Source organism: Homo sapiens, chromosome 16 (genome assembly GCF_000001405.40).
Source record: "Homo sapiens chromosome 16, GRCh38.p14 Primary Assembly".
Classification (NCBI taxonomy): Eukaryota; Metazoa; Chordata; class Mammalia; order Primates; family Hominidae; genus Homo; species Homo sapiens.
In genome coordinates this window covers 57,100,538-57,113,735 of record NC_000016.10, presented here as the reverse complement: position 1 = coordinate 57,113,735, position 13,198 = coordinate 57,100,538, and the positions used below count along the sequence as shown (strand labels likewise).

Below are 13,198 nucleotides of genomic sequence, written 5' to 3'. Positions count from 1 at the left end.
GGTCAAGACCACACCTGATTATATCTAACAATCGGAATCCCTGGCCACCTGGGGCCCCAGATCCTGAGAGGCATTCTGTTTGGCTGCCTCTCCAGATGGGAGCTCTTCAGCCCGGCCTTGAACCCGCCAAGACTGTTCCCCACTCTGCATCTGCACTTTGGGACCCACCCAGGAAGATGGGGCTAGGGAAAGACAGCACGAGAAGAGACTTTTTGAGGGGTTGCCCGGTCTTTGGGCCCCTGCTCCCACCCAGGAGGGCCCAGCTCACCGTGCCCAGGCTGCAGGAGAACTGGCCCAGGAAGTCATGCTCGTCCAGCCGCATACTGGACTTGTCCTGGTCAAAGAGCGCGAACTTGAGCTTCTGTACCTCCTCGAAGTGGTAGTCAAGCACGAACTTCTTGGAGAAGGCGGGGTTGAGGTTGTTGATCGCGGTTTCTGTCCTGTCGTACTAGCAGAGGGGCAGGAAAATGGAAGTCAGAGTCAAGGCAGCTGGTCCAAGACCTCGCAGGCTGCTGGAAATCATTCTGCTAACTTGTACAATGCCTACTCTGTGCCAGGCTCTTGTGGTCATCGTCAGTGACTCACTATCCCCAGCTCACAGACAAGGACACTGAAGCACAGAGAGGTTAAGTGACTTCCCCAGGGCTGGACAGCTTGTGGAGCAGGGCCGAGATTTGAAACCGAGGTCTGACTCTGCTACCCACACTCTTAATTCTTTGGCCCTGGCTCCCTACCCAGGTGCCAGGGTAAGAGCTCAGGCCCTGCCCCTGCCTGGGTAAGAGATGGAGGACAAGGCCCTTTCCCCATCTGGGCCTCCGTTTCCACCTCTGTAAAGGGAAAGGATTTGACTACTTGCGGTTTTCACTTTTTATTTTGGGAAAACCCTTTTTCAAACCATGTTTTACATGGAAACTGAGAGAGGAAACAGAAAGCAGGGAGGATTCTTCGGGGGAGGTGGGGTCAGGGACTCCCCACGGGAGCGCGGGGAGATATTTGTATCTTGTATAGAATCCTGACACTGTGCAGCCCAACACCCCACCTACTGTGGATACCAAAGCCTGGCTGAGGACAGGGCCTGGTACTGTGGGTCAGTGGTGGCACTGGGACAGGAAACCCGCCTCCTGGCCTCTGGATGCTGAGGCCCCAAACCGCGGAGTCTGGGTGACAGTCTATTTTGGGGCCCAGGCTGTGTTGACTTTTCCTCCCACCCAGTCCATTTCCAAGGGCTGGAGCAGCAGGGACGGAGGAGGTCTTGGCCCTGGGCTATTTTTAGCCAGGGTGGCTGGCCTGGGTGGGGGCAGAGGTTGTCAGGGAGGGTGGGGGATTGTGCTATGAGTCAGGGGGATACCACTCCCTCGGGGCACTCAAGGGTTCTAGAGACCTGGTGGAAGGGAACTGTGCCCCCAGACATGCCTCTCACAGGCTTGTGGCTCCCCCAGGAGTCCTCAGCTGGCCCCATGTCCCACCTCCCACTTACAGTTGTACCATCAACAAGCTGGGTGACACAAAAAAGTCCCTACCCACTCTGGGGCCCCTGTTTCCCCCTCTGTAAAGTGGGTCAACAATCCCACACCGTTTTCTTGGCATCACAAGAAGGAGCCAACATCCATGGGAACTCTTTGTAAACCACAGTATGTTCAGGTGAACTCCCACCGTGGCCTAGTTAAATATCCATTAAAAAATACACACATATTTTGGGAAATATACATGCATATAAAGCCATCTGGAAGGCTGGATACCAAACGGTTAACAGTGGTTCTCTATGACAGGTGGGTTCCTAACAATTTTGATTTTCTCCTTTAGGTTTATCTGGATTCTCTACATTTACTCCAATAGTTTCCTTTTGCAAAAGCAAAGCAAGTTTTAAAACCTGAAGGTCTGAACAGCTTAGGTTTCTCAACATCCTTCCTCAAGCTGCAACTCTTTCCAACCTTCAAGCCAAAGTCTTCCAGCTCAGAAGTCCTTGCCTGGGGCACCATTAATATCCCCAGATCTGGGGCCTTCCAAGGGAGTCAGCAGAAAAAAAATATATAATAATTTCACAGATGAGGAGACAGGTTCAGAAAGGGACAGCTACTTGCTTAAGGCCACACAGCAGGGAGTAGCATCACTGGGCCTTGGACCAGCTCCCAAAGCCTGAGCTCACTGTTTCTCTGTTTCTTACTGACCATGTGTTCATTTAGAAAGGTTATTTAAAAGCGGAAGCAAACATTTCATAAAACTATAAAATGTTAACTATATATAACAATTTATAACAAGATGGGGCGTGGTGGTTCATGCCTGTAATCCCAGCACTTTGGGAAGTGGAGGCAGGTGGATTGCTTGAGGTCAGGAGTTCAGGACCAGCCTCGCCAACATGGCGAAAACCCATGTCTCTACTAAAAATACAAAAATTAGCTGGGCGTGGGGTGCACACCTGTAGCCCCAGCTAATCGGGAGGCTGAGGCAGGAGAATTGCTTGAGCCTGGGAGGCAGAGGTTGCAGTGAGCTGAGATCTCACCACTGCACTCCAGCCTGGGGGACAGAGAGATTCCGTCTCAAAAAAAAAAAAAAGATATCAAATAATCACTATAAATCATATAAATATAAATCTATAGATTTTAATTGTAATAATTTAAACACAAAGTAATATTTTAAATATATTTAAAATAAAATTTCATTTTAAGAGTAACAATTTACCAAGTAATCCCCTGCCACCAGCCCACACTCCAACTACTTCCATCAGACATCCTGGATCCCAGTCCTGGGAGACTCCCCCTCCCCAGCAGCCTAGCCACCCCCTTACCCACCGCAGACACACGGAAGAGCCTCACCTCGATCCATCTGCCATTGTTCTCTGTAAAGAGGACACAGAAGGGGTCGGACTTGGAGGTAACATCCCGGTCCAGTAGGTTCTGGCCACTCACTGACAGCTCCACCTTGCACACGCAATACTGGGGGCCCATGGGGGCTGCCCCCGCTGCTGGGGCACCCCCACTGGGTATGTGGGCCATGGGAGCCGGTGGCGGTGGCAGGAGTTCCTGGCAGTCTAGGGGAACAGAAGTGAGGGTCAGAGAGTGGACAGACACCTGCTATGCTGCCCCACCATAGGGAGGCATTACCACCTGGCCTTTAAGAGGTGAGTGGAGAGATGGAAGGCAAATTGAGGCGGGTTGTCAAATAACATAGGCAAAGGTTTGAAGAAAGAAGAATGCAAGGAAATGCATGAAAAGGGAGTCTCAGCTGAGCGCAGTGGCTCACGCCTATAATCTCAGCACTTGGGGAGGTCAAGTGCCTGGAAGCCCGGAGTTCAAGACCAGCCTGGCAACAAGGAGGATCCTGTCTCTGCAAAAAATATTTAAAAATCAGCTAGACATGGTGGTGCGTGCCTGTGGTCCCAGCTACTTGGGAGGCTGAGGCAGGAGGATTGCTTGAGGCCAGTAGTTCAAGGTTGCAGTGAGCCGTGATTGCACGTCTCTGCACTCCAGCCTAGGCGACAGAATGATACCATCTCAAAAAAAAAAAAAAAAAAGAAAAGAAAAGAAAAAAGAGTCTCTGTCTCTGGTAGCTGTGTTAAATTTGTCTTTGAAGTTTTTCTCTGCTGTGGTCAGTCTTCACCTGTAAGGATGCACAGCTCCTTGTGTGTTGCTCCGTCACATGAGCAACAAATCACAGTGGACATGGGTGTCTCAGATACTAATTGTGCCAGGAAAACCTGGGCTTCTCCTGAGCAACTAGCATGTTGGCATCTTGTGGCCACAGTGGAGCTGACAACTGCTCAGGCTTCTCTCCTTCCTACTTTGGCCACTAGGAAGCTCACTTCTGGTAACGTCAGAGGCGTTTAAACCAGAGCAACTCCATCTTGAATAGGAACTGGGTAAAATAAGGCTGAAACCTACTGGGCTGCATTCCTAGATGGTTAGGCATTCTGGGTCACAGGATGAGATAGGAGGTCAGCACAAGATACAGGGCATAAAGACCTTGCTGATAAAACAGGCTGCAGTAAAGAAGCCAGCACCAAAACCAAGACGGCCATGAGAGTGACCTCTGGTCGTCCTCACTGCTACACTTCCACCAGGGCCATGACAGTTTACAAATGCCATGGCAACATCAGGAAGTGACCCTATATGGTCTAAAAAGGGGAGGCATGAATAATCTGCCACTTGTTTAGTATATCATCAAGAAATAACCATAAACATGGGCAACCAGCAGCCCTTGGGGCTACTCTGTCTATGGAGTAGCCATTCTTTTATTCCTTTACTTTCTTTTTTTTTTTTTTTTGAGGCAGAGTCTGGCTCTGTCACCCAGGCTGAAGTGCAGTGGCATGATGTCAGCTCACTGCAACCTCCACCTCCTGGGTTCAAGCAATTCTTCTGCCTCAGCCGCCCGAGTAACTGGGACTACAGGCACCCACAACCACGCAAGGGTAATTTTTGTATTTTTAGTAGAGACGAGGTTTCACCACATTGACCAGGCTGGTCTCAAACTCCCGACCTCAGGTGATCCACCCACCTGGGTCTCCCAAATGTGCTGGGATTACAGGCATGAGCCACCGCGCCTGGCTATTCCTTTACTTTCTTAATAAATTTGCTTTCACTTTATGGACTCGTCCTGAATTTCTTCTTGCACAAGATCCAAGAACCCTCTCTTGGGGTCTGGATCGGGACCCCTTTCCTGTAACAGTAACATTAAAAATTCACCCTTGTTCATTGTCTATCACCTTCACCCTGTATCTCTAGCTCATACACAATGACTGGTGCACAGGAAGCATCCAGTATATACTTGCTGAATGAAAAAAGGATGAGTGTATAAATGAATGAATGGACAAACCCTCCATATGCCTCAGATCCTGCCAGCATTGGTCCTTATCTTCAACACACAATTTACCCTTTCACTCATATACAATTTCCCAAAATTCTGTGCCCTGGGCCTCAAGTATCTTCCTCCAGTCAAGGTTAATTACTGACATGTGATCAGTCGAAGGACTTCTGTTTTCCTTTGAGTGCAAGGTGTGAGTGAGACTGGAGCAACCCATCTCAAGGGGTGGAGGGGGACCTAGGTCACACCCATCACAGGCCCAGCAGACAAGTCCTCTGGCTTTCTCTGCCTCAGTTTCCCATCTGCCCATGAGACATCAGGACACAGCCCTTTGAGCCTCCTGTGGTCAGGTCTCATTTCCACTGGCATGTGTGCATTTAACACTGGCCCTGTCATCCCAGTGGTTGAACCTAGCCCCTAAACACCTACCCAACAATGGCCAGGTTCCAACTCCCTAATACTTTGTCCTCCTGAGGCTAAGTGGTTTACTGACCCTGAACTTCTCCAGTGGAGGGAAGTAAGTGGGGGTGGTGGGTGGGCCCCCTCTGGGAACACAAATCCAAGTCACTGTGCTTGTGAGCACTAATTGAGCATGTCACCTGAACAATGTCACTAATCCTCACTCAGTCTTACGAGGCAAGTATAGTAATATAATTTTCCAGAGGAGGAAACTGAGGCTTTCATTCACTCTAGAGGGTGTACTGAGCATCTATTAGGTCCCAAGAACTGTCCCAGTGCTGGGAATGCTACAGTAAGAAGACTGCTCTCGGCTGGGCATGGTGGGCTCATGCCTGTAATCCCAGCACTTTGGGAGGCCCAGGCAGGTGGATCACTTGAAGTCAGGAGTTCAAGACCAGCCTGGCCAACATGGTGAAACCCCATCTCTACTAAAAGTACAAAAATTAGCCAGCATGGTGGCGTGCACCTGTAGTCCCAGCTACTCGGGAGACTGAGGCAGGAGAATTGCTTGAACCCAGGAGGTGGAGATTGCTGTGAGCTGAGATCGCGCCACTGCACTCCAGCCTGGGCAACAGAGCAAGACACTGTCTCAAAAAAAAAAAAAAAAAAAAAAAGATTGCTCTGTCTTAGCCCGTGCAGGGCTCACAGTCCAGTCTGGCAGGAACACAATGAGGGAGCAGGGAGAGTGGCCAGGACCTGCAGGAGCTGTGGGCTCTGATAGGGTGTCTGAGTTTCATTCTGAGAGCAATGGGAAGTCTTAGAAGCAGAGAACTGACATTATCTGATTTGCGTTTTTAAAAGCTTACTTGGCCCCTTGTGGGGAGAAGGGGTTGTCAAGCTAAGGAGAAGTAGCAGAGAGACCAGTGAGGAGGCAGCTGCTGTCCTCCAGGCAGGAAGGATCGAGCCACCATCACTATGCTGGGTCCACTCCTCCTCTCTTTCACCCAGGCCACGGTGCACTCTGGAGCGCCAGCCTCTTGCTGGGCAGATGCAGTCCCCTGCAAGCCCCGGTCTGCAGGAGGCCAGGGTGAGAGTGGGGCTGGCAGCGGAGACCTCCCAGCTTCCCCTCCAGATCCAGTGTTCCCCGGACATGCCTGGCAGGGGAAAAATCTGGACAACGATGAAGCTGGTCCTCAGCCCCCTCCCTCCCAGCCTTTGTTCCTAGAACCTTGTTATAATCACACGAGCTCAGAGCATCAGGACAGCACTACAATTTGCCTGCAGGATTTATTCTTGTGTAAAAATCAGTTTCCACTGGAGGAGCTGGTGAACTGCGTTCACTCTTACTGTGTGCAGCTGGGCAGCTGTGCCAAGTTGGGGTGGGGTGGGGAAGGGGGCAGACAGGGATGTCCAAAGTCTTGCTGTGTGGCTGAGAGCGCCTTCCCATGCCTGCAGGACAATTGCCCCCATTTTAGAGATGAGGAAACTGAGGCCCAGAGAGTAAAAGTCACTTGCTTGAGGTTACAGGGCCAGGAAAAGGCAGAGACAGGATGTGAATCAGGTCTCCCAGGCCAATGCTTGGCCTTTTGCCAGGGTGGGGAGATTGCTGAACATTGTGGGACCTAGGCAGGGACAGCCAGGACATCAGCCAGGCCAGGGGAGCCTGAGGCTAAGCGGGCAGGTTGTGATCAGGGCTGGGGAAGCCAAGGGCATTCCCCCATTTGAACACACACCCAGGATGGGCCCCAGAGTATCCAAGTTCACCAGTTCCTCTGGGTCACCCAGTCCACACCCCTGCATCTCCCACCATTGCTGGCGAGGTGGATTCTAGCTCACCTACCCCCTCCTCACTTCACAGGCCCCCTCTGTGACATGTTAGATGCCACCTGGGCCACCATCTCCTGCTGCCAAATCAGACACTTCTCTTCTCATCCTGAGGGTGTCAGGCACACACGCCCAGATTCACCTGCTTCCTTGTCCATTTACACACGTGTGGTCACATATACACACATACACATACGCACCCAGACTGACAAATACAATGACAGATGCTCATATGAACACTCTGGGGTCACCTCCTTCTGTCCCCATCACTACCCTACCCCCGCCCCTCTGCCTCATCCAAGCCCCATTATCTTGCCTTGGTTACTATACCAGCCTCCTGCCTTTCCCTCCCTCCAGCCTGACTGAGGGCGTGGGCAGGAGGGACAGGTCACAGGGGCAGGGGGCGGTGGCTGGGCCAGGAGCCCCCAGCTCACTGCAACTCCACCTGGATCGGCTCAGGCCCTGGCTAGAGTGAGCAATGGGTGGGTGGGAAGGGAACTCCTCCCCGAGCCAGGGGCAGGTCCTCCCATCTCCAACTCACCCTCTGGCTGGAAGCTTCTGGATCCCCGAAACGGGGAGCACATGATGTCTGGAGTTGGGGCAGGCGGGGGGAAGAGTGGGTCCCTCTGCGCCAGCCCAGCAGCAGCCAGGCGTACTGGACCCTGAGGCCTGACGCAATGGAAAAAGAAACTACAGCTTAGGCTGGGCCAGGGGCCCCCTCCCCTCCTACCCCAGCAGGAGGGCAGGCAGGCAAGGTGTCATTAAGGGAGGGCTGGGCCTGCCATGCGCATCTGGGCACGATGGAAACACCTCTGGGGCAGCCCCCACCCCATAGGTAATTTGAGGTTTCAGGCTGGGGGATGGGATGGGGAGCCAGGGCCTGCTTAAAGCATGGTCCTGACTCCTGGCACAGATGGGCACAGCCCTTCTGGGGTGACCAGACCCCCCAGGCAAGGAGCTTGGAGAGGGGTTTATGAAACTAGTGGTCTCTTTTACAGATGGGTCAACTGAGGCAAAGAGAGGACAGGACTTGGGAATTCCCAGGCACTGATTCATTGGTTCATTCAACAAATACTCCCTGAGCACCCCGGGGCTATGCAGTTAATAAAACACACAGGAGCCAGTGGTGGCTCACACCTGTAATCTCAGCACTTTGGGAGGCTGAGGTGGAAGAATGGCTTGGGCCCAGGAGTTTGGGGCTGCGGTGAGCTGTGATTGTGCCACTGCACTCCAACCTGGGCGATAGAGCAAAACCCTGTCTTAAAAGTTAAAAAAAAAAAAAAAACCGGACACATAGGATTCAGCCCTCACAGGGTCCACTGACCCCAGCGAGGAGGCATCTTGCCCTTAGGCAGGACAGGCTTGGACATTGGTGCTGAGCCACAGGCCTAGAACATCACGGTTTTAGCCAGAAAACTAGGAATTCATCGTCCTTAATCTCCTTTTATCTTCACCTCCTATATGCCACCAGTGCTGCTGATTTCACCTTCAAGCTGCATTCAGCATCCGTCCTCTCCCCACTTCCACTATGTCAGCCCAGCCAGGCTCCCATCATCTCGTGCCCAGACACACCCTGACCCATAACAGGAATCTCTGATGCAAGCTCAGCTGCACTCTCTTTTCCACACCAGAGCCAGAGGGAGTCTTTAAACCTAGAAGTCAGATGCCACCATGGCTCTACCTGAAAGTCTTCCTGTGACCTCCTCATCCAGGTCACACAAACCCCAAATCGTGCCCAGGATGACAGGACCCTGCCTGACCTGTCCCCACTTCCTGCCACCCTCCCCCTCGCTTGCTTCCTTTGGCCCAGCTGCACTGGCCTCCCTTTGCTGTCAGGCTCTCTCCTGCCTCAGGGCCTTAGCACTTGCTGTTCCTTTTTCCAGGAATGCCTTTCTTCACAGGAAAGGTCTTACTTGTCAGCTTAATATCACATCCTCAGAGGCCTTCCCTGATCACCCAGGCTGATGTAATCTGTCTCCGCTCCATGCTGCTTCCTTCACAGATCACTGCAATGTACAATCGTTTTACATATCTGTCTATGTACCTGTGTCTGTCTGCCCCGTCCCTCAGGAGGACATCATCACTGTTTCCCCAGCACCTATGGCCGTATCTGCATATGTGAGCACCTAATCAATGAGGAAGGTGGGGGCTCGTCAGGCAGGCTCCATCATCAGCAGCCCCAGAGCAATCATAGCCACCTCCCCCTGCACACATCACTTGAGAGAATCACAGGCAGCTTCTCAAACCCTAGGGTCTGAGAGGCCAGCAGGAGAGGGACTGTGTCCTACTTCACAGGGGTGGAAACTGAGGCCCAACAAGAGGCAGTGGTTTTTTTAAGCCAGGGAAGGATGGTGACTAGGCCCAGAGCCAAGGCTGCCATCACTCCATCCTTCCCACTTTGGCTCTGCCATTTAACTGCTCTGTGACCTCTGGCAAGTTCCTTCAACTCCCTATGTCTCAGTTTCTCCCTCTGTAAAATGGGAACAAGAGTGCCTTCCGGCCGGGCGTGGTGGCTCACACCTGTGATCCCAGCACTTTGGGAGGCCGAGGCAGCTGGGATCACCTGAGGTCAGGAGTTCAAGACCAGCCTGGCCAACATGGTGGAACCCCATCTCTACTAAAAATACAAAAATTAGCTGGGCGTGGTGGTGTGTGCCCTTAATCCCAGCTACTCGGGAAGCTGAGGCAGGAGAATTGCTTGAACCTGGGAGGCGGAGGTTGCAATGAGCCTAGATTGCACCACTGCACTCCAGCCTGGGTGAGAGAGCAAGACCCCATATCAAAACAAAAACAAAAAACAACAACCAAAAAAGAGTGCTTTCCTAGGTGTTGTGAGGATTCAGTGAGGTAAAGCACTTGGAACAATAGGTAGCTTTTGCTATGATCAGTGATTCTTAATGGCTGTGAGGAGAAAGTAGCCCTGGCCCCACCGCGATGTAGAACCCGGGAACCAGCTATAGTGTAAAGGAGCTCACTGTCGGGGAGGAGCTGCTGGGCCGGCTGGGTGGGGGGACCTCCAACTTAGAAATGGGCGGAGAGGAGGGGACAGTGAGAGAGGCAGGCACAGGGAAGCAGATGGCCCAGGAGGAGGCCTGGTAACCCCGAAGGGGAGAAGAGCTGCTGGATGGTGAAGGGCAGGCCTGAGGTGGCCAGGGAGGCAGCCCCCATTCCAGAGGCTGGTGGAGAGGAGGAGCTGGGACCACAGTGGGATGTCCTGTCGTAAATTCTAGCAAGGGCACCGTGTGCTGTCAGAAAAGCACATGCAACTTGATGTGTAGAAAAGGGAAAAACAGGCCAGGTGTGGCAGCCCACGCTTATGATCCTAACACTTTGGGAGGCTGAGGTGGGAGAACTGCTTGAGGCCAGGAGTTTGAGGCCAGCCTGGGGCAACACAGTGAGATCCTGTCTCTACAAAAATAAAAAATAAAAAAATTAGCCAGGTGTGGTGGTACACACCTGTAGCTACTAGGGAGCCTGAGGCAGGAAAATTACTTGAGCCTGCAAGGTCAAGGCTGCAGTGAGCTGTGATTGTGCCACTGCGCTCGAATCTGGGTGACAGAGTGAGATCCTGTCTCTCAAAACAAAAAAAGAAAGAAAAAAATAGATTCTGTTTTGCTGGTGGCAGTAACAAAGAAAGGGGCGTGGTTGCCTGGTCACGGTCAGTACCAGGCATTAGTTAGGAACCCATTATGTGAGGTCTGAATCCCCAGCAATTCTTAATGTCTGGGGAAGAGGGGAAAGTAGATAAAAAATTTGGGGGATGTGTAAAGTTAACAGTTTACATAAAGGGGGCGAGGTTAAAACTGATTGAGAGGGCCGGGCATGGTGGCTCATACCTGTAATCCCAGCACTTGGGGAGGCTGAGGCGGGCGGATCATCCGAAGTCGGGAGCTCAAGACTAGCCTGGCCAACAAGGTGAAACCCCATCTCTACTAAAAATACAAAAATTAGCCAGGCATGGTGGTAGGTGCCTGTAATCCCAGCTACTTCAGAGGCTGAGGCAAAAGAATTGCTTGAACCTGGGAAGTGGAGGTTGCAATGAGCTGAGATCGTGCCACTGCACTCCAGCCTGGGCAACACAGGGAGACCCTCTCTCAAAAAAAAAAAAAAGAGAAATAAATAAAAACAAAAAACTGATTGAGAAACACGGCTCTAGGCTCTCCCTCCAGGCTGGTGGACACAGCATAGGGAAGCCCAGAGAGACCATGGTAGTGACGGGGGACTAGGGATTGAATTATGGGCTTGGATACACAGCCCTCAAGGTCTTCGAGGTGGGGCCCACTCCTGGGTGCTGTGGCTTCTGGGACCCTCAGGGCCTCCAAGTCCTTCTGCACCCAGCATATCCTGGCAGTGGGGTCTCATCTCTGATAGCAGAGGCTCCTGTGGTGGCTCAGAGCTGTCACCACGTGTGGTTTCCAGATGGGTCACCTACGCATCTCCCCGGAGCCTGCTAGAAATGCAGCACCAAGCGGGTGCGGTGGCTCACTCCTGTTATCCCCGCACTTTGGGAGGCCGAGGCAGGTGGATCTCGAGCTCAGGAATTTAAGCCCAGCTGGGCAACATAGTGAAACCCTGTCTCTACAAAAAATGGCAAAAAAAAATTAGCTGGGCATGGTGGCATGTGCCTGTAGTCCCAGGTACTTGGGAGGCTGAGATGGGGGGAATCACCTAAGCCCGGGAAGTCAAGGCTGCAGTGAGCCGTGATCATGCCACTGCACTCCAGGCTGGGCAACAGAGTGAGACCCTGTCTCAAAAAAAAAAAAAAGAAAAAGAAATGCAGCACGCTGGGCCCACCCAGACCTGCTCTAGCAGAAGGCCTAGAGTGGTGCCCGTAGGCCTGTGTTTTAACATGCTCTGCTGGTGGTTCTGATGTGGGCTAAGTATACACAAATCACAGGTTAGCTGAGTACGTGGGGCATCTTGTTCAAATACAGATTGTCATCCAGCAGGTCTGGGGAGGGGCCTAAAATTCTGTGTTTCTAACAAGCTACAGCTGATGCTGGGGCTGCCCCCCTGGAACCACACTTTGAGACACGAGGCTACAGATCAGAAGTTGCAATGTGGCCACCCCATGGCTGACCACACCCCAGGGATGGCTCTAGTGTAGTTGGATTTGGCATAATGAGGCAGGTGTCACACTTGGTCTCCATACAAGCCCTGCTGGCTTCACACACCGAGCTTCCAGCCAGGTCTCTGTAGACTTCTGAGTTTGCAACCTCTAGTCTGGATGAGAATGCTCTGTTAACCAGAACCCTCAGCTAACAAGACACCCATTCCCTACGGGCCCTGATGGCTGCTAAGTTTACTGAACTTTTGGGGGGTTGGAACGTATCTTGAATGCATCCAGGTCTAAATTGCCTCCTTCATCCCATTTCCCAGATGAGAAGATCCAGGAAGATAAATGGCAACCATATTAGTCCAGGTTTTCTGGAGAAACAGAACCAATAGGATATCTATCTATGCAGAGAGAGAAATGTATTTTCAAGAATTAGCTCATGCGATTGTCGGGGCTGGAAAGTCCAAAATCTGTAGGGCAAGCCAGAAGGCTGGAAACCCAGGCAGGGTTTCTATGCTGCAGTCTTGGGGCTGAATTCCGTCTTTGAGAAACCTTAGTCTTTGCCCTGAAGGCCTCTGATCAATTGAATGAGGGCCACACATAATGGAGGGTAAGCTGCTGGACTCAAAAGTCTACTGATTTAATGTTAACTGCATCTAAAAACTACCTTTATTTGACCAAACAACTGGTCACCAAAGCCTTGCCAAGCTGACACATAAAATTAACCATCATAGCAATCTTTAGTTCCTAGGAGATCTGTCATGGGGCAGGAAAACAGGGTGTTAGGGCAGGAGCTCTGGGCTAGCCCTTCTTAAGTGTGGGAGCTCAGAGAGCCCACCCCCACCCTGTCAGCTGCAAGAGAAGGGTGAAGGTGGGTGTGGCCATGCTGATGGAGAGATAACCATAATAAAATGAGAATAATAATGCCTGTCCCAGGTCCTTGAAATTCTATAGCTTCACAACATCCCCAAATGAGGTGTTATCATCAGCACTCCCATTCTCCAGGTGAGTAAACCAAGGCTAGGAAGTTGAATCACTTACCCACATGGTTCTGGTCCTCTGGCTCCCAGCCCAATACCACTCTACCTATTGGGCCTCCACTAATGTGACTCTGGACAAGTC

General features: G+C 51.8%; 1 protein-coding gene across 1 annotated transcript in view, besides 3 other annotated features; it reads right to left on the bottom strand.

The window, feature by feature from the left end:
- Positions 1 to 13,198, bottom strand: part of CPNE2 (copine 2) — a 55,787-nt gene that overhangs the window by 34,634 nt on the left and 7,955 nt on the right. The window contains exons 2-3 of the mRNA NM_152727.6: positions 2,814 to 3,028; positions 269 to 448 (exon numbers count right to left, since the gene is read on the bottom strand). Of these exons, the coding sequence (NP_689940.3) occupies positions 269 to 448; positions 2,814 to 2,993 (360 nt within the window). The 5' untranslated portion in view covers positions 2,994 to 3,028. The remainder of the gene's footprint in view (positions 1 to 268; positions 449 to 2,813; positions 3,029 to 13,198) is intronic.
- Positions 337 to 386: an enhancer, noted in NCBI's record as "active region_10882". NCBI's record gives its function as "activates an Ori minimal core promoter by ATAC-STARR-seq in GM12878 lymphoblastoid cells {active_cell/tissue: GM12878}" and the evidence as "EXISTENCE:reporter gene assay evidence [ECO:0000049][PMID:35858748]".
- Positions 7,775 to 8,374: an enhancer, noted in NCBI's record as "H3K4me1 hESC enhancer chr16:57139274-57139873 (GRCh37/hg19 assembly coordinates)". NCBI's record gives its function as "activates a minimal SCP1, AML or CMV promoter by ChIP-STARR-seq in naive H9 embryonic stem cells {active_cell/tissue: H9 hESC(naive)}" and the evidence as "EXISTENCE:reporter gene assay evidence [ECO:0000049][PMID:30033119]".
- Positions 9,654 to 10,609: an enhancer, noted in NCBI's record as "H3K27ac-H3K4me1 hESC enhancer chr16:57137039-57137994 (GRCh37/hg19 assembly coordinates)". NCBI's record gives its function as "activates a minimal SCP1, AML or CMV promoter by ChIP-STARR-seq in naive H9 embryonic stem cells {active_cell/tissue: H9 hESC(naive)}" and the evidence as "EXISTENCE:reporter gene assay evidence [ECO:0000049][PMID:30033119]".